General features: G+C 51.1%; 1 protein-coding gene and 1 long non-coding RNA gene across 9 annotated transcripts in view, besides 8 other annotated features; one reads left to right on the top strand and one right to left on the bottom strand.

Annotated features, from left to right (window-relative positions):
- Positions 1–26341, top strand: part of LRRK1 (leucine rich repeat kinase 1) — a 158901-nt gene that overhangs the window by 120514 nt on the left and 12046 nt on the right. Inside the window, exons 21-32 of the mRNA NM_024652.6 lie at positions 6111–6282; positions 8624–8787; positions 9774–9913; positions 11841–12090; positions 13052–13218; positions 13353–13550; positions 15076–15353; positions 16986–17180; positions 18120–18271; positions 21301–21418; positions 22704–22820; positions 25482–26335. Coding sequence (NP_078928.3) covers positions 6111–6282; positions 8624–8787; positions 9774–9913; positions 11841–12090; positions 13052–13218; positions 13353–13550; positions 15076–15353; positions 16986–17180; positions 18120–18271; positions 21301–21418; positions 22704–22820; positions 25482–26335 — 2805 coding nt within the window. The remainder of the gene's footprint in view (positions 1–6110; positions 6283–8623; positions 8788–9773; positions 9914–11840; positions 12091–13051; positions 13219–13352; positions 13551–15075; positions 15354–16985; positions 17181–18119; positions 18272–21300; positions 21419–22703; positions 22821–25481; positions 26336–26341) is intronic.
- Positions 2364–26341, bottom strand: part of LRRK1-AS1 (LRRK1 antisense RNA 1) — a 109606-nt gene continuing 85628 nt past the window's right edge. For 3 of the 8 annotated variants that reach the window (XR_001751724.2, XR_001751723.2, XR_001751721.2), the window contains 2 exons: positions 10764–10909; positions 9223–9794 (listed from right to left, as the gene is read on the bottom strand). This is a non-coding gene — a long non-coding RNA (LRRK1 antisense RNA 1). Of the gene's footprint in view, positions 4269–9222; positions 9795–10763; positions 12520–12587; positions 13056–23531; positions 25487–26341 lie in introns of those variants that run through there. The other 5 variants (XR_001751727.2, XR_001751726.2, XR_001751725.2 and 2 more) reach the window with 5 other exon arrangements.
- Positions 6204–6889: an enhancer, noted in NCBI's record as "H3K4me1 hESC enhancer chr15:101586279-101586964 (GRCh37/hg19 assembly coordinates)". NCBI's record gives its function as "activates a minimal SCP1, AML or CMV promoter by ChIP-STARR-seq in primed H9 embryonic stem cells {active_cell/tissue: H9 hESC(primed)}" and the evidence as "EXISTENCE:reporter gene assay evidence [ECO:0000049][PMID:30033119]".
- Positions 7185–7685: an enhancer, noted in NCBI's record as "NANOG-H3K4me1 hESC enhancer chr15:101587260-101587760 (GRCh37/hg19 assembly coordinates)". NCBI's record gives its function as "activates a minimal SCP1, AML or CMV promoter by ChIP-STARR-seq in naive H9 embryonic stem cells {active_cell/tissue: H9 hESC(naive)}" and the evidence as "EXISTENCE:reporter gene assay evidence [ECO:0000049][PMID:30033119]".
- Positions 7686–8186: an enhancer, noted in NCBI's record as "NANOG-H3K4me1 hESC enhancer chr15:101587761-101588261 (GRCh37/hg19 assembly coordinates)". NCBI's record gives its function as "activates a minimal SCP1, AML or CMV promoter by ChIP-STARR-seq in naive H9 embryonic stem cells {active_cell/tissue: H9 hESC(naive)}" and the evidence as "EXISTENCE:reporter gene assay evidence [ECO:0000049][PMID:30033119]".
- Positions 8323–8847: an enhancer, noted in NCBI's record as "H3K4me1 hESC enhancer chr15:101588398-101588922 (GRCh37/hg19 assembly coordinates)". NCBI's record gives its function as "activates a minimal SCP1, AML or CMV promoter by ChIP-STARR-seq in primed H9 embryonic stem cells {active_cell/tissue: H9 hESC(primed)}" and the evidence as "EXISTENCE:reporter gene assay evidence [ECO:0000049][PMID:30033119]".
- Positions 8848–9371: an enhancer, noted in NCBI's record as "H3K4me1 hESC enhancer chr15:101588923-101589446 (GRCh37/hg19 assembly coordinates)". NCBI's record gives its function as "activates a minimal SCP1, AML or CMV promoter by ChIP-STARR-seq in primed H9 embryonic stem cells {active_cell/tissue: H9 hESC(primed)}" and the evidence as "EXISTENCE:reporter gene assay evidence [ECO:0000049][PMID:30033119]".
- Positions 13560–14180: an enhancer, noted in NCBI's record as "H3K27ac-H3K4me1 hESC enhancer chr15:101593635-101594255 (GRCh37/hg19 assembly coordinates)". NCBI's record gives its function as "activates a minimal SCP1, AML or CMV promoter by ChIP-STARR-seq in primed H9 embryonic stem cells {active_cell/tissue: H9 hESC(primed)}" and the evidence as "EXISTENCE:reporter gene assay evidence [ECO:0000049][PMID:30033119]".
- Positions 22343–23008: an enhancer, noted in NCBI's record as "H3K27ac-H3K4me1 hESC enhancer chr15:101602418-101603083 (GRCh37/hg19 assembly coordinates)". NCBI's record gives its function as "activates a minimal SCP1, AML or CMV promoter by ChIP-STARR-seq in naive H9 embryonic stem cells {active_cell/tissue: H9 hESC(naive)}" and the evidence as "EXISTENCE:reporter gene assay evidence [ECO:0000049][PMID:30033119]".
- Positions 23009–23673: an enhancer, noted in NCBI's record as "H3K27ac-H3K4me1 hESC enhancer chr15:101603084-101603748 (GRCh37/hg19 assembly coordinates)". NCBI's record gives its function as "activates a minimal SCP1, AML or CMV promoter by ChIP-STARR-seq in naive H9 embryonic stem cells {active_cell/tissue: H9 hESC(naive)}" and the evidence as "EXISTENCE:reporter gene assay evidence [ECO:0000049][PMID:30033119]".

The raw sequence follows: 26341 nt of genomic DNA on the forward strand, positions 1-26341 counted from the left end.
ATGTTGATGGATTTTCAAATGTTAAACCAACTTTGTATTCCCAAGATTCATACCAAGTGTTCATGATTTATTATCTTTTTTATCTAATGCTAGATTTCAGTGGCTCCTATTTTGCATAAGAATTTTTTAATCTATGTTCATGAGGGATATTGGTTGGTACTTTGATGAAAAGTCTTTATGGGTTATCAGACATAGGCTGTCTTCATAAAATGAATTGAAAAGATTTTTTTCCTTCTCTATTTTCTTCAAGATTTTGTATAAGATTGGTGTTAGACCTTCCTTAACAGTTTGATAGAATTTATAGCCTGGAGTTTACTTCACAAGAGGATTTTTAATTACAAATTCAATCTATTTATTAGCTATAGGGTTATTAAAATTTTCTATTCTTGTGTCAGTTTTGGTAAGTTATTTTTTTTTCAATAAATTTTTTCATTTCATCTATGGTGCAGAATATATTAATATAAAGATATTTAAAATATCTCTGGAATGTGTAGTGATATGCTCTCTCTCCTGATATTAATAATATGTCTTTTCTCTCATTCTTTCTTGATCAGTCTTGCTAAGTGTTTATCAAATTTTTGGAACCGTTTTAAAGAACGAACCGTTGCCATTGCTGATTTCTTCTATTATTTTTCTCTTTTATTTCATCTATTACTGCTCTTTATTATTGTCTTCCTTCAGCTAACTTTGGGTTTAATTTGTGCTTCTTGTTCTTCCTTCTTAAGGTAGAAGCTTAGGTCATTTATTTTAAGCCTTTCCTATTTTCTATGTAAGCATTTAAAGCCATAACTTTCTAAGCACTGCTTTATATGACAAATACAACTAATTTTGCTATGTTGTGTTTTTATCATTTAGTTCGAAAGATTTTCTAATATATCTTATATTATTTTGGTCAGAGAATATATTCTAAGATTTCTGTATTTTGAAATTCACTGAGACTTATTTTATGGGCCAATGTGTGATCTTTCCCAGTGAAAGTCTGGAGTGCACACAAGAAACGAGTTTTCTGTGTTGTGGCTGTAGTATCTTATAAACCTTAATTAGCTCAGAGTGGTAAACAACGTGTTCAAATCTTCCGTATTCTCACTGATTTTTTTCCTACTCATTCTATCAATTACTAAGAGAGAGATGGTAAAATATCTAATGATAAGTCTACCTCTCTCTCCAGTTCTGACAGGCTTTATTTTATATATTTTGAAGCCATTATTGGTTACATATACACATTGGTGTCATGCCTGTGTAATGAAGTGACCCTTTTTTCATTATACAATGTTTCTCTTTATCACTGGTAATACTCCTTTTCTTGAAGTCTATTTTGTCTGATGTTAAAATAGCCACACCAGCTCTTTTAGTTCTACCTGGGTTTTTTCCCTATTCTTCTAGTAGCAGGTTATGATCTCTATAAAAAAGGAATCTCTTGCTGACAGCACATTATCCAATCTGATAATCTCTGCCTTTTAATAGGAATATTTGATTCATTCACATTTATCATAATTAATTATATGGTTGGGTTTAAGCCTACTATTTCTCTATTTATTTTGTATTTATACCATCTGATTTTGTTATTTTGTTCATTCTTTCCTGCCTTCTTTTGAGTTAAATTTTATTTTAGTATTTTCATGCTCTCTGTTGGGTTTTTGGCCATTCTTCCTGGTACTGTGTTTTAGTGGTTACTCTTGGGATTAGAATATGCATCCTTACCTTATCACAATCTACTTGTAATTAATATTATACCACCTTGAATTAAATGCAAAAACCTTAGCACGATACCAGGACATTACTCCTCCCAGCACCCTCTGTACTCTTGCTGTCATCCACGTTTCTTCTATACAGTAGTCCCCCTTATCCACAGCTGGTGGATTTCCAGACCCCCGTGGATGCCTAAAACTGCGATAGTATTGAGCCCTACATATACTATGCCTTTTCCTTTATCTACATACCTATGATGAAGTTTAATTGTAAACCAGTAAGTGATTAACAACACATAGAAATTAACAACAATAACAACAAAACAGTATAATTATGATATACTGTCACAGAAGTTACATAAATGTGGTCTCTCTCTCTCTCTTTCTAAATATCTTGATATTTTTGGACCAGTAATTGAAACCATGAAAAAGAAACTGCAGATAAGGGAGGACTACAATATATGTAATGAACCCCATAATATAGTGTTATTACTTTTGCTTTGAATAATTAAACAATCAATAGTCTTTTAAGAAATTAAGGGAAAAATGTTGATTGTTTCTGGTGCTCTTCACTTCTTTCCATCTGGTATAATCTCTTTTCATCCTGAAGAATTACGTGTAGCATGTCTTAAAGTCTAAGTCTGATGGAAACAAATTCTCTTTTTTAGACAAGACTTTTGTTTATATGAAAATGTCTTTATTAACACTCTAATTTTTTGCTGGATAATTTTCTTCGATGTAGAATTCTGGGTCATTTTTCTGTCAGTCTTTTTAAAGGTGTCACCCCATTGTCTTCTGGGCAGACAGGGGTCCTCCTCAGTCTTCGTCACCCCTGACCCCTCGCTGAGGACCTCTGACCCCATGCCACCTCCTCTCATGTGATCAAGGATGCCCAGCCACCTGCTCTGCTGCAGCCCAGGGGCCTCTGAGAAGCCTACTGCCCCTCCGAGAGCTCTGCCACCATCCTCCTGTGGCTTTTACTGCCCTTACACTCCCCTACTTGTTACCTCTTACCCACCTGCCCGGACCCTCAGTTATGCTGTCAGCCCTTGAGCATTGGGCAGCACACTTCTCTGCCTCCCCACAGCATGTGCTCTGGCCCTGGCATTTGGCCCATGGAAGGCAGGGGAGAGGGAGTGAGGCCCCCTATCCTTACAAGCAGGGTGCTCTTGTCGGGGGATTTGTGCAGACTCTTTATGAGCTATTACTTAACTTTTCTTCCTTCAAATTCTCACTTTTGAGGCTTGGTTTTCATCAAAACCAAGTGTAGTGTTGGCTTCTTCTTTCCTCCTACTCTCCTCTGTGCTACCCATTGCCAGGATATATCTTCTGAAGTAGCTGAACTGAACGCCTCCCCTCGGGGTGGGACCCCTACGAGGGCCAGGCTGGGGGAGCACACGAGGGGTGAGACCTGCCATGATGCTCTGCCCTAAACCAGCTTGGTCCTCAGGCCTCTGAGTACTAGTTTCCATATCAGCCGCTTCCTGGGTTTGATGCTGATATTGGCAATGAAGCTGTATCCAGGATCCAAATCCACAGGATCCAAATCCACAGAATGTTGCCATGCAGCACCCAGAGAACACGTCGCCACTCTGCGTCCTCAGCTCCAGATCTCTACAGGGGTGTCACCTGGAGACTTCTGGGGAGCAGGCCTGGATCCTGCACAGTGAGGCCAGAGACCCGGCCACCTGGGAACCAGCCACTGGCCCCACCTTTGCCTGAGGCCCCACCCACCTCCCACTAGGTATGGGAGGGGCCTCAAGTCTTTCTTGCTGCTCCAGCTCTCTGGGTTCCTTACAAAATAAAACCCCAAAGAGGAATTCAAAATTCCACAGCCCCTCATAACATGGCCCAGCGGTGTCCTTAACTTTGGTCCATGAGAACGTTCAGAGTAAGGCAGCCTGTGTGTTTACAACATTGCCGGATCTGACAACTTTCAGATTGTTTTATCGCAGGTTAGAGGAGTGAGGAGATACGAGTACTCAGTAAAAGAAAGTCAGTTATCTATATGAAGTCAGTTTTTATATGTATAAAACGTACACGTATTTATAATGTGTGTGTGTGTGTGTGTTGGCCTGAACAAGACCATCAGTGTGATCACGGCCAGGTCCTCACCAAGGCTTATGGCACAGCAGGTTAGAATATGAAGTTGGGACGCACAAGTATGAATCCCAACTACCTTCTTTCTCGTCTGCATAATGGGTATAATATAATTACCATAAGTATGATAGTTGTTGTGAGGATTAAATTAGATAATACATGTAAAATATTCAGACCAGCAGAAAGAAACAGTAGCAGGCATGTCCCAGGGCCTCCTGCATGGGAACAGCCACTGACAAATACATGTAAAATACTCAGAACAGTGTCTCTTAAGCTCCCAAGACATCCAGTATTGACAGTCCAGTTATTGTTACTGTTTCTTCGTGGTAGGTACTCATAGCCATGGTGTCGGGTTCTGTACACATCCAGGAATAGTGGGACACGTTTCATCTCAGCACAGGCATAATGGTTCCCTTGAGCCCCAGGCAAGTCCCCGCTCCTGGCATCATCAGCTTTCTAAGGCTGCTGGGATCCCTGGATCTGTGCAAACAGACACATTTGCGGCTCCTCTCAGAGCATGGTTTCCCACCTGCAGTGAACCCCTCCAGCCCCTCAGAAAATCTCCATGAACTCCCTGGAAGTACCATACAGTTTTAAGCCTTTGTGCTTCTTTCAGGAGGAAGGTCCTTGCCTCTCAGCAGACTCTGAGAAGGGCTGCGGCCCCTGTCTGAGGCTGTCTCAGTGGGGTGGCATGAGCCAGCACCTCCGTGCAGACACTGTGCCCTGCCAGGGTTTCACTGCTTTACGTTCATCAAACACATGAAGAATTTACCTCTTAGGACCTGTCCTGCCGACTCACTGGTCATTCCCTGGGACGGCCTTTCCCAGCTCGTAATTGCTCTGAAACCCGGAGCCAGCGGCCTCCACTACCTGGAGACCACTGCTTCCCTTGAGAACTGGCTTCTGTGGCCACTCAGGATCTCTTTATTTGCCATGTCACCTTCTAAACCTCTGCCCTCAAAAACATCATGGAGCACCTCTTCTGTGTGCCACCGCACATCGTGCTGGGACGCCTGGGGACAGAGAATGCTCCCCCCACTCTCTAAGCACACTCCGACAAGGAGAAGAGCAAGACAGACATGGGGCACCACCACTGTAAGAGGGCCACATGAGAGACCCAGGATGCATGAGATGAAGTAGAAAAAGCAGAAAGAAACAGCAGGCACGGCCCAGGGCCTCCTGTATGGGGAACAAACACTGAGCAGATAGAGAAGCAAGGACTTTTCAGATGTAAAGGAATAAGACAGGACACTCTGATGAAGAGGCATCTAGCGAGAGGTTGGGAATGTCCTTTCACTCAAGACCTGAAAGGCTGAAAAGGCCTCCTGCTTCACCACCTGTGTCTGCTGTGTCATCTGCACAGCCCCCGTCTACCTTCACCAGCCCTGCCAAGAGGGGATCCTTTCTCTCCCCATTGTATACCCATGTGTCAGAGCGTGTAAGTGAGAGCCGAGACTTGCGCCTGTATGCTCGGGCCATGGGCTGTCACTGAATTTTCTTACAGTTTAGGGAGTCTTTTCCAGAAAGTTCTAAGGACATTTATTGGACTGAAATAGATTTAAGATTAGGAGAGCTGAAGGTAAAACCTTTATTGGGAAGGAGTGCAGCATCTGCACACCAGGGGCCGTCCTGTACCTGTCCAGTGCCTGCCCCCGCAGCCCCACAGGATGCAGCCGTTGCTGGTTTTCGGGCACCCTTTTGGAGGGACCTCCCAGGTTTCAGCCGTGAAGCCCTTGCCGATGCAATGATGCAGCATTTTTATGATGACCGAGAGTGTTCTCGTAAAACATCCCTCTTCCGCACAAAACAGGCCTATTCTAACTTTTAAGGCAATCGCGTCGTGTCAACGGGCCAAGAATAATAAATAGCTTTAAAGGCCAAAAATGTTACTCTGACCCTAATATCTGCATTGTCCTTGAAACCTTGCAGCTGTGTTTGTTTTTCCTTCATCAACCAAAGTTAATGTTATTTCCCCAACTGCAACCCCGTTTATAGAGAATTGAGTCCCATTTGCTGTGTCTGACATTTTTAGGACCATGATGTTTTCATGTCTTCCCTTAGCCTTATTCTAGTATCTTAGAAACCATGATAGACTCATATTAATGGGACCAGTCTTCATTTTCCTTTGGAGTATTTATTCTTAGCATATAAACCACGCTTCTCTTACTAATAACAGAATTCCAAAGGCCCTGGGAGGAAGGAACCCAGCAGCCTGAGGTGTTCCAGCACAGCCTGTCCCCAGATCAGGCCATCTGCTGGGGTCAGGGCCCTGCAGTGGAGCTTGGGCCCCACTGTTCACCAGTCCCCCTTGGTGTGTTTCAGCTACCTCCTGCCCCATCTCCTTCCATCTAAACCTGGCCTGGACACCCACGGTATGCGGCACCCCACAGCCAACACCATTCAGAGGGTATTTAAGATGAGCTTCGTTCCCGTTGGCTTCTGGCAAAGGTTTATAGCACGGATGCTGATCAGCCTGGCGGAGATGGACCTGCAGGTATTATGGCTGCGGTTTCTGCATAGACAGATGCCCGAGAGCCACCTACAGTTGTACCACTGGGGGAGGGGAATGCCCTTTGCTGGGGGGCCCTGCCTGGAGACCCTTCTCCTAGAGCCATGCCACCAATGTAGTGCCAGGGGGCAGGTGTGGCATGGGCTGCTGGCCAACCCACTGAAGCCATCCTGGGAGTTCCAAAGCAGCACCCTCCTTAGACAGAACACGCCCTTTATAAACAGTGGTTCTCAGTGTTAGCCCACCTCAAAACCACCTGGAGTTTGTTAGAACACAGTTTGGTGGCCCCACCCGAGGTTCTGATTCAGTAGGTGTGGACTGAGGCCAAGAATTCACATTTCTATCCATTCCCCGAGGTGATGCCGCCGGCCCAGCAACCACACTTGGAGAACCGTGAAGTTAGAAGCACGGTTTTGCCGTCCTGGCTGCACGCTAGACTCGCCTGGAGGAAATTCTAAAAGACACAGACCACACTCCAGACCGATTGAATCAGGGTCTTTGAGTGTGGCATCATTTGAAAAAGTGATTCCTCTTTGGTATTTTTAAGGCTCCCAGGCGAGTCCCCTGTGCAGTCCAGTTTGAGAACCACTTGTGCAGAACTGTACGTTGGTTCTGGTAACACGGGAGACCCCCCGCCCAAGGAGTTAGCTTCTGTGGGTTTACCTGGGGTTACAGGAAGGCGTCCCCGCTGTCAGACAACATTAATTTCATGCAGGGCAGGAACATGGAAGCAACATTTGCTACAGTGGTGTTTTTCAAAGTGGGGTTCCTATACCAGCAAAATCAGCCTCACCTGGGAACGTGTGAGGAACACACGTTCTCAGGCCCCACCTCAAACCCACTGCATGAGAAACTCCAGGGGGAACCCCGCACTGGTTTTCACAACCCTCCAGGGGATTCTGACACACTTTTGGTTTTGCGAACCTCTGGCATAATCCCTGACTGTCAAATCCTTGACATTAAACTCCGTATGAGTTTACTGTTGCTACATCCTAATTAGAAAGCCCTTATTGAATTATAACTTCTTAGCTCTATAAAAATGTTCTTTGATCTTCCCATTTTTACCGAAATGGTAAGAAAAAAATCAATGCAAAAGCCTTAAAGTCCATCGTGACAGTAGCAGCCTGTGCTAGCGGGGAGGGAGATGGGTTAATAGCGCCAGAAGGGTGCACTGATTGAAGGAGTGGGCGCAGGCGCTGGTGCTCCTACGTTCCCATTCCTCTGCCCTCCCTTTGAACTCTGTGTGCCGCTGTCTTCTCAAGGGAGGGTCATGGAGCACTAGCATCGTGGGAGGCTGAGCTGACAAGTGGGGCCCAGCTGGGCCTGGAGGCCAGGGCGCCCTTCCGGGCAGCAGCTTCCCTCACTCGAAGTTAGGAAAGAAGTCCTATTGAAATTCAGATGGGTGACAGGAGGGGGAAAAGAGTGCAGTCTCATCACTCATCAAAGGCATGCAAATTCAAGCAGCAGTGAGATGCCAGTTTTCATCCATCACATTAGCAAAAAGCTGAGCCGTAATCCCCAGCCCGGGGCACGGAGCGGCCCCGCGCACACTGGTAGTCAGCGCACAGGACAGTCTCGTCGTTCGAGAAGCGATTCCTCGGGATACATCCAGAGCTTTAAAACGATCAGACCCTTCGACCAATAATCCGACTGGTAAACATCTAAACTGAGGACATCATTTTCAATCAGAGAAAGCTCTGTGCCTTTCTCATGTAACTCAAGGTGGTTTTGAGGGAGCAAAAGATTGGCACCAACTTACACTTCCAGAAGAGAGTGGTTCAGGAAATTACTATGCTTAATAGAATATTAAACTTTAGAAAAATGAATTTTATGTGTGTTTTTAATGGCATAGGAAAGGTGGGGTTTTTTAACATATACGAAATTAGAAATCCAATATGGCTTCAGCTGTTTTTCACAAACATATGGAGATAGAAAAAAAAAAAATCCTGGAATAATATATACCAAAATCTGAATGATCTCTCTGCTTGGTGTTAAATTGGTGTTTTGTTTTCCCTCTTACATTTTTCTGTATTTTCTACATTTTCTAATATGAATTTTTGCTTGTAAAGTCAGAAAGGGAAAAAAATTTTAAAGGAAAGCCTATTTTTCAATTCTTTGGAAAAACTGTGTTTCCGGAATTCCCTGGAGACCCCGTCAGCTAATGTAACGTTCAATTTGGCAGCAGGGATGAGCAGCGTGGGAGGAGAGGGTGGGAAAGATGGGGGACATTTATCAAGATGGGGCCCAGCCCGGCCTCTGCAGAGCTCTGCCCAGGGCCAGCGAGGAGCCCAGAATACTTAAGCAGGGTCTTTTCTCTGTCTTTCAGCTTTTTGAAAACAAGAAGAATACTAAAAGCAGGAACAGGAAAGTCACCATTTACAGTTTTACAGGAAACCAGAGAAATCGCTGTAGCACATTCAGAGTGAAAAGAAATCAGACCATCTATTGGCAGGAAGGGCTCCTGGTCACTTTTGATGGGGGCTACCTCAGGTAGGAACACCTGGAAGCCCACCTGCCAGGTCAGCAGGTGCCACAGCAGCCACCGCGGGGCCACGTCAGCAGGATGCCTCATCCTCTTGGTGTCCAGAATTTTGCTCGTGAGAGCGGCTCGTCATGGCAGCTTGCTAGAAATGTGAGGCCCTCCCACGAGTGTCCCAGAGGCTCCGGTCTCCTCACCCCTGCTGAGCCCCCCTTGCAGGACGGGAAAGGCAAAGGCAGATGTGGCGGCCACAGCTGAGGACTTGAGGGACGTGGCGGCCATTGAGCTCAGGAGAGCCTCAGGCACTTCCCATGGTTATTCAGGTCACCATGGTGACCTTGCAGCCATCCTGCCCGTCCCCTTGTTCTGTGAGAAGCCAGGCTGGGGACAGGGGATGCTGAGACTCCTCAGCCCCCATCTCCACTGCCCATAACCAGACACGGAACTCAGCTCCCTGTGCCATTTATTCTTGGTTTTTTGAGAGCGGTAGACCTAAAGTCAGCCCAACAGGTTTAACGAATGATAAACACCCAAGATTATTTTAATGTTTACAATGAACTTTGCAAAATATTCTTCAGCTCTGTGAGAGGAGAAGAAGGGAAAAGGGGAGGTAACTTTACAGAGGGCTTGATTGGCACCTGCCTCTTCCGCATAGATGTTCTCACTTAAGGCCCAGGGTTGCTGCTGGACAGATGAGCATACTGAGGTTCAGGGAGGTCTGGGAACTTCCTTAGGGCCTCACCTGAGGGTCAGCTCCCAGGCTGAGCGTCCCTGACTGCAATCTTCCTCGTGCCTCCTTCACCAGGCCAGGTCCGGGGCAAGAACAAGGCAGGGCCACGCACACGTACATACAGGGAGGAGTCCCCCATCGGTCCTGCAGGGCACAGAGTCTCTCCAGGTCCCCGGGGGTTGGTTCCTGTCCCTGGGGGTAGGGATATCATCCCAGGGTCCCCCAGAGCCAGATCGCAATGGGCTCCTTTTGGTCTCTGGATTGCAGTGTGGAATCTTCCGACGTGAACTGGAAAAAGAAGAAAAGCGGAGGAATGAAAATTGTTTGCCAATCAGAAGTGAGGGACTTCTCAGCCATGGCTTTCATCACGGACCACGTCAATTCCTTGATTGATCAGTGGTTTCCCGGTAAGAGGAGATGCTAGAAGCAAGCCCTCATTCATGCTAATATTTCTTATGAATCAGGGTGGGGCTGCTGCTTTCGGGGTGGACAAAAATCCCACTGGGATTCAGCCCAAGAAAACTAGGGGGTCTTAACAGCACTTTGGTGGGAGTCCTGGCCCCCGAGAAGTCCAGCTCTGTCACTGGGGGGAGTCCCACGGGGAGGACTGGGCTCGGACACCACTGGGAATGTGCAGGGAAGCGGCCTGCCAGCTGCCCACAGGCGTGGCAAGAAAGATGACACTGGTACCACGAGTGGTCCACGGAGATGCTCAGTGTGAGCTCACACGTGTCTTGTTTTCATAGTGAGGACTGTGTGGCTGAAATTGCAGGGGAGCCGGCAGATGGAAATTTATCCCCTGCGCAGGGGCAGGGATGGAGGGGAGCCGTGGCAGCCAAGGGGCCTTGCTCTCCTCCCCTGCCACCCCACCCATCCCGGCGGTGATCAAACCACTAACACCGCCCTTCTCAGACCCTTTGGATCTGTTTCTTCATTGATAGTTCACCCAAAAAAAGTACTCTTTGAGTGAAGTTCCTGAGGCCTCCTGTTTGTTTTGCTCCTGGGGTGGAGACGACTCCCAGAGCAGCCTGCCAGGGGGAGGCCATCTGGGGTTTAATGGGGCAAGCAGCTGTGGGAGGGGCTGCCCTGAGAGCTTCAGCCCTGAACGCTGGAGGCCAAGCAGCTGTGGGACAGGCTGCCCGAGAGCCTCAGCCCCTGAACGCTGGAGGCCAAGCAGCTGTGGGAGAGCGGGTTTGGAATTCCAGTGCCACCCCTGCAAGCCTCGGCTGGTCCCCCGGCCTCCTGGGCCGGCCTCACCTGCATGCAATGCCTGCATCCCAGACAGCATCAGGGAAGGTGGCTAAGAGGCAGTGGCAGAATGCACTCAGGATACACATTCCAGATCCCAGGGTCTGGTCTCTGTCAGGGTTGGGGTCCTTCACACTGTTGGCAGGAAGGGTGACCTACAAGGAAAAAAGGCTTAGAAAGGAGCCCTCGGAGAAGTCAGCTGGGTGTGCGTGTCATGGTGATTTGGGAGGCACTTGGCTGTCTAAGGGGGCCCTTAGGCCCATGTGAACCCTTCTGGGCACTTTGCAGCTCCCCACCAGCCAGTGTTCCCCACACAGCAGGTGCTGGGCAGTTTGACAGGTGGGTCCCTTAGACAGTCACCTGAGATGGAAAGGGCTCTGGTGAGCACCTGAGACAGATCGCCTGGAGCCAGCATCCCCAGCCAGGGGCCCCTCCCAACGGGATGCCTTACACATGGACCTGCAGATATCAGATGTGCCTGGAAAGTTCTAGGCATCCACCTCCTACCTTGCATGAAGCAGGCAGTTGGCCGGCCCTGAGGGCACCTCCACAGGGCATCTTGGAGGGTGTTTCTCTGCACCTCCTCTCAGAGGCGTGGGGGAATCCCGTGTCCGGTGACTGAGTTTCGTCTATGATAATTTGCACTCATTTCTGCCCCTGCATTGCCCTTCATGGACATTGTAAACCTGATGTTTCTAATTGTAAGAAGGGTGCCTTCCCCACTGCCGTGATGGTTGGAGGATAGCTCACACCTAGTCTGCGATGACCTGTTAGGGCCCAGTCATGCAGGAGGGATCCCCCCACTCCTCTCAGGCCCCCCAGCCAGCCTGCTCAGTGTCCCGACCACTGGACAGTTCTCGGAAGCATCCTGAACCCTCCCTGGACACATCTTTCAGGACAAACAATTGCGCTCTCCAAAAAGGCACCCGAATGTGGCAGTGGGTTTCAGCCTGTCTCTTGGGTACAGGCCAGGACAGGCAGCTCCCCTGCTGCGAAGGCCTCAGGGCCTGGGGTGCAGAGTGCTGCTCGGGGGGCCCTCCTGCACCACCTTCTTGTGAAGCTGTCTCCTGCTCTGTCCTTATTTAGCCCTGACAGCCACAGAGAGCGACGGGACGCCACTCATGGAGCAGTACGTGCCCTGCCCGGTCTGCGAGACAGCCTGGGCCCAGCACACGGACCCCAGTGAGAAATCAGAGGATGTGCAGTACTTCGACATGGAAGACTGTGTCCTGACGGCCATCGAGCGGGACTTCATCTCCTGCCCCAGACACCCGGACCTCCCCGTGCCGCTGCAGGAGCTGGTCCCTGAACTGTTCATGACCGACTTCCCGGCCAGGTATGCCCCGAAGGCCCCTCCCAGAACACAGTGCAGGTCACAGGGGGCGTTCCTCGCTGTGCAGTTGCCGAGTGATCTCCAGGAAGACCCCTCTGGGGCGGGCAGGTGCCCCGGCCATGGCTTCCCACCAATCTCAGTACCTTTTAGGTTCCCATCCTCGGCTGCCTGAAAGGAACCAGGCTGCCGGCTTTCCATTTTGGAGGCCTTGATAGGCCCAACTGGGAAGAGTGCTTTGCAAGTGCAGCCATCCTGCCTCCCCATACGGCTCCCCCTTCCCCTCGTAGCCAGAGCTGCTCTCTCCTGAGCTGCCTCTCCTTTCCACTCCTACCTCCCCACCAGCTCTAGGGCCAGCAGATAAGTGCAGCCAGTGCTCCTCAAGCATTCAGGAAGGGGAGAGAAGGGAGAGCTCCCACCCAGAGCCTTGTTTACCTTCTTTGTCAAACGCTGACTCCTGTCTGTAGCCCTAGCGCTGAGCTCCCACCCAGAGCCTCGTTTACCTTCTTTGTCAAACGCTGACTCCTGTCTGTAGCCCTAGCGCTGAGCCTTGGACCCCTCAAATCTGTTCTTAGAGTTTATTGTACCTATGCTAACCCAAGATCATAACTAGAGAGAGAATCGGGGAGGAAATAGGAAACGTCACCTTTCAGAAGAAAACTTCCAAAGGGGTCCTTTCTCTACGGCCACCACTTCTGTGGGGTTCACCCTGTGCCAGCCATCACCACCTCTGAGGCCGTTCCTGTCCTGAGAGCCCTCTGTACAGAGGAGACTGAGGCTTAGCAAGCCTGCATAACCTACCCAGGTGTGCTCACCCACAAGTGGCAGGGCCGGGGTGGCCCAGATCTGTCCAGCCTCACAGATGGCTTTGAACCATGACTCTCGGCCGTTGGGGCAAATGACCCAGCCCAGGACCCACCCGCATCAGGGCGGGGGGGATGTGGCTGATGCCGGGCGTGTGTGGCAGGCTCTTCCTGGAGAACAGCAAGCTGGAGCACAGCGAGGACGAGGGCAGCGTCCTGGGCCAGGGCGGCAGTGGCACCGTCATCTACCGGGCCCGGTACCAGGGCCAGCCTGTGGCCGTCAAGCGCTTCCACATCAAAAAATTCAAGAACTTTGCTAACGTACCGGCAGGTAAGCGGGTCCCAGGTTGGTGCTGTTTTTCTCAGACATATGCTGCCCGGGTCTAAGCTCTGTGCGGCCTTAGAGAGGCCTGAGGCTGCAGGCACCCCATGTCCTACTGGCTGACACTGCGCTGTCCCTGGCAGACACCATGCTGAGGCACCTGCGGGCCACCGATGCCATGAAGAACTTCTCCGAGTTCCGGCAGGAGGCCAGCATGCTGCACGCGCTGCAGCACCCCTGCATCGTGGCGCTCATCGGCATCAGCATCCACCCGCTCTGCTTCGCCCTGGAGCTCGCGCCGCTCAGCAGCCTCAACACCGTGCTGTCCGAGAACGCCAGAGGTACCGCGGCGCGCCGCCCCACCCGGCCCCGGAGACCGACAGAGCCCCGGGCGCCTCCTGCCTGGCACGGGGGGTAGAGCCTCAGGTGGCCTTGGCAAGCCCAGGGCACGCCCAACCCATGGCTCGTGTGACCATCCCCTGGCTGCGAGGCCAGGCTCCCCGCCAGGTCCAGTCACTAGGCAGAGCCTTGGCGAGGACGGGGGAGCGCACACTCTGGAGTCGGCTAAGACCAGGCTCTGCCGCGGTCCGGAAAGCCGCTGAGTTTATTTGCCTGTAAAAGGAGGATGGTAACAGGCCTCGCTGGGAGGGCACCGAGCACGGGAGCTGCATTGAATCACTTTCCCAACTGCACACGTACACGGCTGCTGAGACTCTGAGACCGCAGGGTCAGTGGGACCATATTTTAACATAAAATGTCGAAGTAATTTACCTTGAGAAAAGAGCAGCTAAACTCCAGAGTGGCCAGAGGGTGAAAGGTAGCTGTCTTTTGACTAAGGAAGAAGAAATGCTATGAAAATCAATCACTTCTGCCTCAATGGAAGATAATTTTTTAAACAGAATTCTTTACTTTTTTTTAATACAGGATCTCACTTTGTTGGCCAGGCTGGAGGACAGTGGTGCAATCTCAGCTCACTGCAGCTTTGACCTCCTGAACTCAAGCCATCCTCCCACCGCAACTTCCCGAGTAGCTACAAGCACACGCCACCACACCCAGCTAATTTGTTGTTGTTGTTTGTAGAGATGGCCTTTCACCCTGTTGCCCAGGTCGTTCTCGAACTGTGAGCTCAGTCGATCCCCCCACTTTAGCCTCCCAAAGTGCTGGAATCACCGGCATGAGCCACACGCCCAGCCAAACAAAATGCTTCTACTTGCCTCTCACCCCTTTACGTAGGACAGCCTTGACCTGAGGTGAACTCTAGAGATTTCGAACCCTTGCTCATTCAGCAAAATGCCAGCAATTCCAGGAATAAGATATCAGGAATGAAGCTACAGCGATGAGCATTTCTATCCTAAATACTGTTTCACTTAACCAGGCCATTCTCTGTCCTTTATGGCAGTCTGGTGAATAGTGAGAATGTGTCAATGGAATATAAAGTATCTAAGGGCCAGGCGCAGTGGCTCACATGTGTAATCCCAACACTTTGGGAGGCCCAGGCGGGCAGGTCGCTTAAAGCCAGGAATTCAAGACCAGCCTGGCCAACATGGTGAAACCCCATGTCTACTAAAAATACGAAAATTAGCCAGGCATGGTGGCACGCGCCTATAGTCCTAGCTACTCAACTTGGGAGGCTGAGGCAGGAGAACTGCTTGAACCCTGGAGGCAGAGGTTGCAGTGAGCCAAGACCATGCCACTGCACTCCAGCCTGGGTGATAGAGGGAGACTCTGTCTCAATAAAAGAAAAAAGAAAAAAAATCATAAAGTATCTAGGGAGATCGGAAGACAAAAAGACAGTTGTTATCATGATAATTTGATTCTATCAAAACTGAAATTTTGATACATTTGAAAATTGTTTTTCTTTGCAAGATTCTTCCTTTATACCCCTGGGACACATGCTCACCCAAAAAATAGCCTACCAGATCGCCTCGGGCCTGGCCTACCTGCACAAGAAAAACATCATCTTCTGTGACCTGAAGTCGGACAACATTCTGGTGTGGTCCCTTGACGTCAAGGAGCACATCAACATCAAGCTATCTGACTACGGGATTTCGAGGCAGTCATTCCATGAGGGCGCCCTAGGCGTGGAGGGCACTCCTGGCTACCAGGCCCCAGAGATCAGGCCTCGCATTGTATATGATGAGAAGGTACGTGCCTGGATCCCCTGGCCCAGCCCCACAGTGTAGGAGCCCAGCCCTCAGGCTAGCCGGGCAGTCCTGGAGGCACCTGAAGCTTCGGGGCTCAGCATCCCCAAAAGCACATTTTTCTCACTCTCCCTTGCTCAATGAGGGAGGTTCTGGCTTGAACCAGAAGGGTGCAGGGGCCTGTGTCTGTCTGCTTGTAGCAAAGTTGACTTCTCCTTAGCATCAGCCTTCTCAGACCTTGATTCAGTAACATTGTAGAGGCTGTAAACAGCAGATGAAGAGTCCAAGAGAGAAACAGGTCTGGATTTGGGCTCCAACTCACATTTAGATGTCCACAGTGAGGACACAGGACCAGCCTTGCAGGGCACTCAGGAGGAGCAGACAGAATAAGGACGGTAAAGACCCTTGGCCTTAAGTCCCGGCCACAGGGTGCTGGCCAAGTTGAATGCCAAACCAGGAGAAGAGTGAAAGAGCAAGCTGGCATCCCCTGGCAACTGCACTGCCAGCCTCAGTTGAGACAATGACTAAATGTTGATCTTCTGATAACATTTATCCCTGATGGCTACTTGGTAGATGCAGGCACACACACAACTTGAAGTCATCTTACCACGCATGTATTACATCTAGTGCCAGCCTTGTTAATTGATCACCCAGCATTAAAATTCCCTTGTCTATAATTTCTTATTATCTGGTGATTCTACAGATGGTCATTGACTAATTCCTGTAGGAATGACCTGTGCATGTATGGATTAGCTCAGCACCTGTGGTTGTTGCCCATAGAAAAGGCAAATCAGAGCAACAAAAATAAGAGCTTCATAATAGTAGCTGACTTCAACAAGGAGGTCACCTTGAAACTCAGATTATCATGGAAACATTCACATTAAAAATTCTCAAGTCTATCTATCTCAGTCATTCTCCTGCTAAAATGTTATTTCTTGACCCTTATAGGGGTCTGTATAAATTTTTCCTTGCTGGACCTTTTTGATTATGAAAATTAGAGGAGACAACATGTTGTGATCCAGGAGACGCTCCTTTTTTTATGAGTTGCAATACATAACACTTTTAGTACCAAGCACATTAAGCTGAGGGTGTGTGTTTTCCTGCCTTGTCTTGGTACTCAAGAATAAGGACCATGACATCCTTGGAGTCCTTAATCAGTGACTAACAGCAAGTTCTCAGTGTGTTTTATTGGATGGAAGGATGGATCGATGGATAGATGGATGGATGGGACAATGGGCAAATGGACAATATGGTGGGAAGTCAGATGGATGGGTGGATGGAAAAGAGGAAGGATAGGAAGACAGATGGATAAATGTGCAGGACAGGTGGTCGGATGGATAGATGGATGGACAGATGAGAAGAATGGATAAATGTACAGGAAGACAAGCAAATGGATGGATGGGTGGATGGATGGATGGAAAGAAGGAAGGGTGAGAAAATGGATAGATAAATGGATAGAAGAGAAAGTGGTCAGATAGGTGGATGGATAAATGGATAGAGGGACATGGTCAGGTGGTTTGTTGAATGTTTGTTTTCCTTGTCTAATTGTGTCTCCCTGGTCCCTCCACCTGAGGGCCACCTTGTGAAGGCCACTGGGCCCAGGCAGCGACCTGACTTGGCTTGTTCTGTGCCCAGGTAGATATGTTCTCCTATGGAATGGTGCTCTACGAGTTGCTGTCAGGACAGCGCCCTGCACTGGGCCACCACCAGCTCCAGATTGCCAAGAAGCTGTCCAAGGGCATCCGCCCGGTTCTGGGGCAGCCGGAGGAAGTGCAGTTCCGGCGACTGCAGGCGCTCATGATGGAGTGCTGGGACACTAAGCCAGAGAAGGTACTTGGGGACACAGAGCCCAGGGCCTGGGACCTCCTGCCATGTGAGGAAGCTGTGGGTCCCCAGGGGGTGTGTGCCTGGCTGCCCAACCATCACCATTGGCAACCCTTCTCTGCTCATTTCTTCTAGAGGGTGATGTTTGCTGCTCCTAACATACCTACTTTCATTGTCTTTGTGTGTGCGTGTCACTCTTACGAAACAAACTTCCTTTTCCTCCCCGACTTTTGTGTTACTTCACCGTGCAAACAAAGTATATAAACCCCTTTATAACAATACAGTCCCTATGCAAGAACAGAGAGAATGTGGGTGTCTCTTTGTAAAGTGATGGGGAAAAGGTTTCGTTGTGAGAATCAGGGATCATATTACAGTGTTCAGGCTAGTTTTTTGACGGTGGTGTTTTTGTGTTTTTGGAAGAGGCTAGTGGTTTCAAAGTTAAAACTCATTTATTAAATCAGACAGAGCTAGTTTAATGTATGGGGAGTAAACAGGGTATTCTTTAGAAGAACGCATGTCCTTATCTGGGCATGGTGACATGGACTTATAGTCCCAGCCACTGGGGAGGCTGAGGCAGGAGGATCACTTGAGCCCAGGAGTTTTAGGCTATGGTGCGCCCTGATCGCACCTGTGAGTAGGTTCTGCACTCCAGCTTGGGCAATATAGTGAGATGAAGAGTGTATGTCCTTGGGCCTGGGTTGGAATACCCAGGGTTCAGCTAACCTGACCAGATGAGCTTAAATTGCCGTAGCCAAAGGTGACCCAGATACCTGGATGGGTTTGCTCCTGACGTCTGAAGCTGTTTCAGCCTCTTGTTTGGATCTAGTCTGAATGAACAGAATCCCTCATTCCTCCCTGGTTGGGGCTGGCTGATCTCATGGGCAGAACGGGCACCAATCCGGTTGTAAGTGACCTTGCTCTCTTCTGGTGGCTTCTCTCCCTCAGCGACCGCTGGCCCTGTCGGTGGTGAGCCAGATGAAGGACCCGACTTTTGCCACCTTCATGTATGAACTGTGCTGTGGGAAGCAGACAGCCTTCTTCTCATCCCAGGGCCAGGAGTACACCGTGGTGTTTTGGGATGGAAAAGAGGAGTCCAGGTAAGCTCCTGCGGGCTGCCCTGCCCCCTTTGTATTTGGGGTGGGAGGCCGCCGTGGAATCTGGGAACACAGTCGATGTTGACCACAGTGAGAATTATTTAGCAGACGGTAGGGTCCAGAACCTGGTTAGACTGCACTCAAGAAAGAGCAGGGAGAGCAGAAGAAAGTCCACACAAAGAGACGTGCATGTATGGTTTTGTGGTTAAGAGATGCCAAAAATGGGTAGTATCTGCCAGGGTGTCTGGGGACGTGAGGGCACTGTGGCATGTGCCTACAGTCCTAGCCACTCCAGAGGCTGAGGCAGGAGAATCACCTGAGCCCAGGAGTTCAAGTTTAGCCTGAACAACATAGCAAGACCCCATCTTTTAAAAAATTAGAAAATTTAAAACATTTTTAAAAACGAAATGAGGCCTGTCGGCCTGGTTATGTGACTTTCTCAAGCATGTTCTGCTGCCCCAGATTGCAGAAGGGGCAACGGGGGGGGGCGTCTAAACAGAGTTGGGGTTTTGCCAAAGGGAGAGAGGGGCAGAGGCATTGGGGTGTTTTCAAGGGAGTGATACAGAGATGGACCAAGGAACCTAAGTGAGGCCACAAATTCAGGGAGCACAATGCAAAGTACTAAAGGATCCTAGGTATTGCCAGAGTTAAAAAAAAAACTCAAGAGTTATGGTTTCAGGTGGGATGAGCCGAAAAACTAGGAGGCGGTGGCCAGACAAGACGTGCTTGCCGTGGGGTGGGTGGGAGGCGCACAGTCGGTAGTAAAGACGGCATCTGGAGTGTGACCTTTGGGGAGGATGCCTGGGGTAGAGTGAGGAATGAGCTTGAGACATAATAAGATAAACGGAACAGACTTCGCAGTTTCTCTTAGGTCAGTCTTTGTGAGTTTGCGTCAGGTTTTATGCCACTCGGACTGAGGGTTGTGACACAGACGTACTCTAAGAAATGATGCTGTAAGGAAGTTTTTCTGACCAGGCCTTGTGGCTCATGCCTGTAACCCCAGCACTTTAGGAGGCTGAGGCAGGTGGATCTTTTGAGTTCAGGAGTTTGAGACCAGTCTAGGAAACATGGTGAAACTTTGTCTCTACAAAAATAAATAAATAACAAAAATTAGCTGGGAATGGTGGCGAGCACCTGTAGTCCCTGCTACTCAGGAGGCTGAGGCAGGAGGATTACTTGAACCCAGGAGTTTGCCACTGCAGTGGGTGGTGATTGTGCCACTGCACTCCAGCCTGGGTGACAGAGTGAGACCCTGCCTCAGAAAAAAAGAGAAGTTATTCCAAAACACAGCGATGGAGCACGCCTTCCTGATGGGATGTACTCTAAGGACAAAACAAAAAGCAAACATATTAATTAAACAGGTTTCAGTAATTATATTGTTGGCAGCACTGTTATGATTGTTACTCTAAGATGCTGCTTGTGGTTGTGGAGTCAGTTAATGAGTAATTATGTTGCTGTTGCTGGAAACATGAGCTAAAGGGGAAAGAGATGTAAAGTCGGGTAAGTAAAAGCCTGCAGTTCTGAATCGATTGGATAGACTCGTGACATAGTTGAAAAATAAACACAAATATCTCAGTTCTGCTCACTGAAAAGGCCTAAAAACAAGGACCAACCAAATGCCAATATGCACCCCTAGGACCCAGACTGTGGTCTCTAAGTACCAAAGTGAACCAGGGCTCATCAGAATCATGGCAGAGTCCAGGTCCGGGGCAGGGAGTGCACCTGGAACATCTGCCACCCTAGAAGCAAGGACATCGTCAGACTTCTGAGGGTGAATTGGAGGACCTTGGGCCAGACTGGTCCTGGGAGGCTGGGCCGGGCCCTGCCCTGCTGGCCTAGAGACACACACGCGGCAGGTACCTGAGACAGTTCCGCTCAGGGCTCTGAAGACTCATCCCAGAGGGAAGACAGAGGCCTCTTCCTGTGACCTGTGAAGGTTCTTTAAAACTCACTGCGGCCTGAAGAGAGACTCACTCACAGGAAGGGAGGAGGGGGCTGGCTGGGAGCACACGGGCAGCCAAGCAGGGGAGCCAGGATGGAACCGGACTTGACTTGAGATCTGTCTGAGAATTAAGGAAGGAAAGGAGGCAGGAGAGGCAGGGCAGACGAGCAGGTAAACAGGATACGCCTAGGACACAATTCCAGTTGCAGGGAACAGGGGCAATTATTCTTTATGACTCTCTATATTTTTAACTGTTTGTTTTCAAAGTAAAAGCTATTCAAATATCTTAGTTTTGTTTTTCTGATGCATAAAAAAATGATGGGAAAAGGAGACAAATACACCTGAAGGAAGTTTTTGTTTGCTGTATTTTCTACCATTTCTATCATCTGCAAATACGTTATCAGTCAACAGCTTTTTAAAATTTGGTGGCAGGAGAAACTTTATATTGAGAACTGCTATCCGCGAGCTTAACATATTCTCTTGAGTCTGAGGGACAGAGCTGCGTGATGCGGGGTACATAACTTCCCAGCCCCATCAGCTTCAGCCTCCTCTGCCATGCAGTGAGTGCTCAGGATGCCCGCCACAGCCTGAGGGGAGACAGCGATGCCGGGGACAGCCGGCCTGGTGAGCCAAGGCTCTCGCAAATGACAAGCCATTAGTTCTCAGAGCACTCGTGCTGGGAGCACATTTTGAGTGCCCCCCCGCCCCAACCCAATCTCCTCTGGAATTCTCCCAACTTGTCTTTAGCCCTGGCTTTGTCTACTCTACAGTGAGGAGCTCCCCGCATAACAGGGGCGGGCAGGATATGGCCGGCGGGAGGGCCCCTCCTTCGTACTGGGGGCAACCGTCTCAACCCTGAGGGGTCACGGAAAGAGGACAGCCTTTCTTCTCTGGCGAATGCCCTTCCTGCGGGCGACGGTCAAGCATTACCCTTCGGGCAGAACCCGGCTCTGCCCTCTCAGAACACAGGATGCAACCCTGGGTGGGAGCAGGGGAGGTAGACGAGGCTCGCAGCTGGCAGGCCAGGCTCAGGGAAAGGAGGCAGCCCCTGGCCCCCGGGCACTGACAGCACAGTTTCTGCCACTTACAGGAACTACACGGTGGTGAACACAGAGAAGGGCCTCATGGAGGTGCAGAGGATGTGCTGCCCTGGGATGAAGGTGAGCTGCCAGCTCCAGGTCCAGAGATCCCTGTGGACAGCCACCGAGGTAAGCACTGCCCGCAGGCCTGCCCACCGAGGTAAGCACTGCCCACTGGGTGCAGCCCTGGGTGGGGGCCACATTCATAAAAATACAGGACGCCAGGTCAAGTGAACTTTCAGATAACCCCCAGCGCATCCCCGTGCAGTCCCCAAGTAATGCCAGGAGCCCCGAGAAGTAGCAGCCTGTCACCAGGGGCAGCTCAACCCTGCCTGCTGCTGGCTGGAGGCCGGGATTTGCGATGGTGAGGACCAGATGTAGACCCTCAGCAGGAGACGAGACCCAGGAGGCTAGGGACGTGCCTGTGTTTCCCATAACACTGCTAGTCACTCAGCTCTGAAGGCCTCTTGCCTTCACATCAGGGAAATCAGGGAAGTCACTAGAAGGCCCAAGGAGGGGTCTTCTGAGAAGTCCCGAGACAACTGGCCAAACACAAATGTTCTGAGGCAGGCTAGGCACAGGGGCTCACGCCTGTAATCCCAGCACTTTGGGAGGCCAAGATAGGAGGATCACGAGGTCAAGAGATTGAGACCATCCTGGCCAACATAGTGAAACCCCGTCTCTACTAAAAAATACAAAAATTAGCTGGGCATGGTGGTGCGTGAGTGTTCCCAGCTACTCAGGAGGCTGAGGCAGGAGAATCGGTTGAACCCAGGAGGTGGAGGTTGCAATGAGCCAAGATCGCACCATTGCACTCCAGCCTTGCGTACCACTTAAGCCTCAGAAATCTCAGTGTTAAGAAACATCTGACAACAGATTAGCCGAAGTAGGTGCAGCCCAGTCCCAGGCATCCAAGAGATGCTCCCACAACATTTCCTCCTAGAATGGGCGAGAGCAAGGGCTCTGCCTAAAGCGTGCTGTTGCATGGGAAGAACAGTGAACATTTCCTCCTAGAGTGAGGAAAGCAAGGGCTCTGCCTAAAGCATGCTGTCTCACATGGGAAGAACAGTGAGAAGACAGCATTGCGGCGTGAGTCCACTTTGCCAGTACCAGGTGCACACACAAATACCACAGAGAACTTCTGAGAGGCTGTGCCCCCAGATCCCAATGTTGGTTTTCTCTGGGGAATAGATGACGGGCTATTTTCTGTTTCCTCTTTAGACTAGTCTGTCTTTTTCAACGTTTCTACAAAGAGCAGAAATCCATAAACAACCCACCAGAACGTGTCAATCCATGTAACTTTCCAAGACCCATAGGGGATCCCCAAGTCCAAGTGCATCCTCATGGGAATGGCTTGGGAAATGCCAGACACTTTCCAGCCTGGGTCTCACAGTGGACCTGTCTGCCTCTGCAGGACCAGAAAATCTACATCTACACCCTCAAGGGCATGTGCCCCTTAAACACACCCCAACAGGCCTTGGATACTCCAGCTGTCGTCACCTGCTTCTTGGCCGTGCCTGTTATTAAAAAGGTGAGGTCGGGGCAAAGGCAGGTATGCAGGTCTCTGATGCACTTCCACGCCTAGGAGGCGTCTCCTAGCTATGTCAGGGTGGCGCCTGCAGAGCCACACCTAGGACCACCTGGCCTAGGACGTAGACTTAGAGACGGTGGGAGGAAAGATATCAGACCTGGTCCGTCATTAGTGCCTTCCGGTTTGCAAAAACCTAAGTCAAGTCCCCAGCCAGACTGCAGGCCGAATGAAAAACCCCCTTTCACATGCAAATGCCCTGACTCAGGTGGAAGGACTGTTGGTACAAATGGCACGGTGAGCAGTCATGCGTGTGCCCTTCCCCTATCCGGAGCCTCTTCCCCACCTGCCCAGGCCAGAGCCACCTCACAGCCACTTGATCACCAGGTCCTGGAGGTCCTGATCTCCCTCCCTCCATCTCTGCCTCCCGCCAAGTACTCGCCGTCTTACACCAGACGCAGTTTCTCTTTGTGCAGCATAGCCCTGCAGACTCAGCTCTTTAACCTCCTAGCCCTGGCCTTTCTAAATGAGACCCCAAGGGGCACTCTCCCCATTAAAGGCCCAGCCAGCTGTGCTGCACCTTGGGATTAGCCCCAGCCTCTATGAGGCTGGCCTCCAGTCCCTGCTGGGCCCGGCACCCTCCCCACAAAGCACCCCACTCTGTGCTGGGCCCTTGACATCCCAGCCTCCTCCAGGAACAGCCCCTCCACGCACCTCTTCCCAGACGGCCTCCGATTCAGTTCTCAAGACCCGGGGCCTTGTCCCCTCCTTTGAGAAGCTGCCCCTCAGTGGGGGGCAGCTCCCTGGCTTTTCCGGGCTCCTCCGCCCACAGGATTCAGGCACGGCTCAGCCAGCTCTGGTTTCATCCACCCTGAGGGGCCTGTCTGTGCATAGGCGCCCTCACTAAATGCACAAGAAGCCTTTACTGGTGTTGCTTTGTTAAAATGTGACTGTCATCATCCAATTCCAGTTTGCCCATCTACAAAACAGGTATAAGAAGAGACAGAAGGCCTAGCATACCCAAAGGTCTAGGCCGGTGTGCTTGGTAAATGAGTATTATTATTACTTCTGGATGGTCGCAAAATACATGAACTCTTCTCTTCACCCTTCTTCAGTTTCATTTAAAAAAAAAAAAAACAGGTATGAAATGAACCTTAGAGTCATTTATGACCATGGCCCCACAGCGAGGCTACGCAGCTTGGGACCAGGCCCGTACCAGAGCGCAGGAGAACACGACACAAAGTGTTATTGAGGCCACCGCTGGCGAGAGCCCCCAGCCAGGGCACCACCTCCTGCACGACCAGAGGGAATAAAGCCTGCTCTGTGCAGGGCCTCCTGGGCAGGGTGTCTGCCCCCTCCAAGGCCGCCAGCGCGAAGCCTGCATTCTTGCACGCGCACCCACGTTCACACCCAGCCGGGACGTGGCACTCACCGCCCTGGCCGGGGCCTGAGCCAGGACTGCAGATAGAGACCTGGAGCCTGTTTGCCTTGGCTGCCTTCTTTCCCTAAAGTCCTGGGGATGGATTTCGATACGCTTTCTTAGAGCATGTTGTCCTGGACAGTGAGCTACGGGTCTCCACTCCATTGCCCTGCACAGCCAGCCTCCTGAGCTCCCCCAGCTCCCCACAAGGAGGCTTTCTGCCCTGCCCCCTCACTGGCATGAGGCCCAGCTCCCTGCTCTGCCCTGACTCCAGCTTTGTTCTGCAGACCTCTTCCCACCCCCACCACAGCCGACGCGGTGTCTAGGCTGCGGAGCTGCACTCTGTTCCTGGCTCTGCCCTGGGAGGTGCCCCGGGGCGGTCTGGGGTGGGCCCAGCATTCAGCAAGGTCCCTGCAACTTTGGCCTCTGCCCGGTGACCTCTGGCGGGTGTAGAAGAGCTCATGCTTCATTGAGGGGGTGGGGGGCACCCTGAGGACCCTGTCAACGTCAGCTGAACCACAGGCATCTCGATAGATGTAAGCTGGGATGAGGGCTCAGCAGGCTGAGACAGGCCTCCAGAAGAGGGTTGAGTAGGAAGCGATTTCTTCCAGAATTAGTTCAGCAAACACATGTCATCCACTTGGAGCAGGAGCCAGGTGGAGTCACAGGGCCACCAAGATGAAGGAGACTGAGCCCTTCCCTGTGCCAGGCTAGTGCCACGGGGATGCTGGTGGGCTGGGAGCCCATCCTTATGGAACACTCTGCCTGGTGGGGGGGGTGGCAGGCAGGGGGCAGTGCACAGATGCTTGCCATGCCCCCACTGCTGTCATGTTAAGCAGCACCGAGAAAAGGGCGGGGGCACCAGGTCCTGCCTCTGAAGGAGGCCTTGGTGGCCTCAAGGAGAAGGCAGCTCCCTGCTGCTCGCCCTGCAAGAAGCTGGCAGAAGCAGAGGCAGCCCATGTGGTCCAGGTGACACGCAGCCTTACTTGGTGCCACAGGCCCTGCCTCTGGGTGGCACATTCCTTTCTTTGCTGCAGGGATGGTAGATATGGCTCTGCGGAGTCAGAGCTGCACTTCTTTAGGAGTAGCCCCGGCCTTTCTAAGAGATTTGCTGCCCTGAGGCGCACTGGTGGAAAGTGACTGCCCGCCTGGTGTGGGTGCAGATGAGTCCAGTGCCTACTCTGTGTCTCTCTTGGAATGTGTGAAATGGAAGGATGTGACACATCCCTGTCTCCTTCCTTCAGAATTCCTACCTGGTCTTAGCGGGCCTCGCCGATGGGCTTGTGGCTGTGTTTCCCGTGGTGCGGGGCACCCCAAAGGACAGCTGCTCCTACCTGTGCTCACACACAGCCAACAGGTCCAAGTTCAGCATCGCGGATGAAGACGCACGGCAGAACCCCTACCCAGTGAAGGCCATGGAGGTGGTCAACAGCGGCTCTGAGGTCTGGTACAGCAATGGGCCGGGCCTCCTTGTCATCGACTGTGCCTCCCTGGAGATCTGCAGGCGGCTGGAGCCCTACATGGCCCCCTCCATGGTTACGTCAGTCGTGTGCAGCTCTGAGGGCAGAGGGGAGGAGGTCGTCTGGTGCCTGGATGACAAGGCCAACTCCTTGGTGATGTACCACTCCACCACCTACCAGCTGTGTGCCCGGTACTTCTGCGGGGTCCCCAGCCCCCTCAGGGACATGTTTCCCGTGCGGCCCTTGGACACGGAACCCCCGGCAGCCAGCCACACGGCCAACCCAAAGGTGCCTGAGGGGGACTCCATCGCGGACGTGAGCATCATGTACAGTGAGGAGCTGGGCACGCAGATCCTGATCCACCAGGAATCACTCACTGACTACTGCTCCATGTCCTCCTACTCCTCATCCCCACCCCGCCAGGCTGCCAGGTCCCCCTCAAGCCTCCCCAGCTCCCCAGCAAGTTCTTCCAGTGTGCCTTTCTCCACCGACTGCGAGGACTCAGACATGCTACATACGCCCGGTGCTGCCTCCGACAGGTCTGAGCATGACCTGACCCCCATGGACGGGGAGACCTTCAGCCAGCACCTGCAGGCCGTGAAGATCCTCGCCGTCAGAGACCTCATTTGGGTCCCCAGGTACGT

This window comes from Homo sapiens, chromosome 15 (genome assembly GCF_000001405.40).
Source record: "Homo sapiens chromosome 15, GRCh38.p14 Primary Assembly".
Classification (NCBI taxonomy): Eukaryota; Metazoa; Chordata; class Mammalia; order Primates; family Hominidae; genus Homo; species Homo sapiens.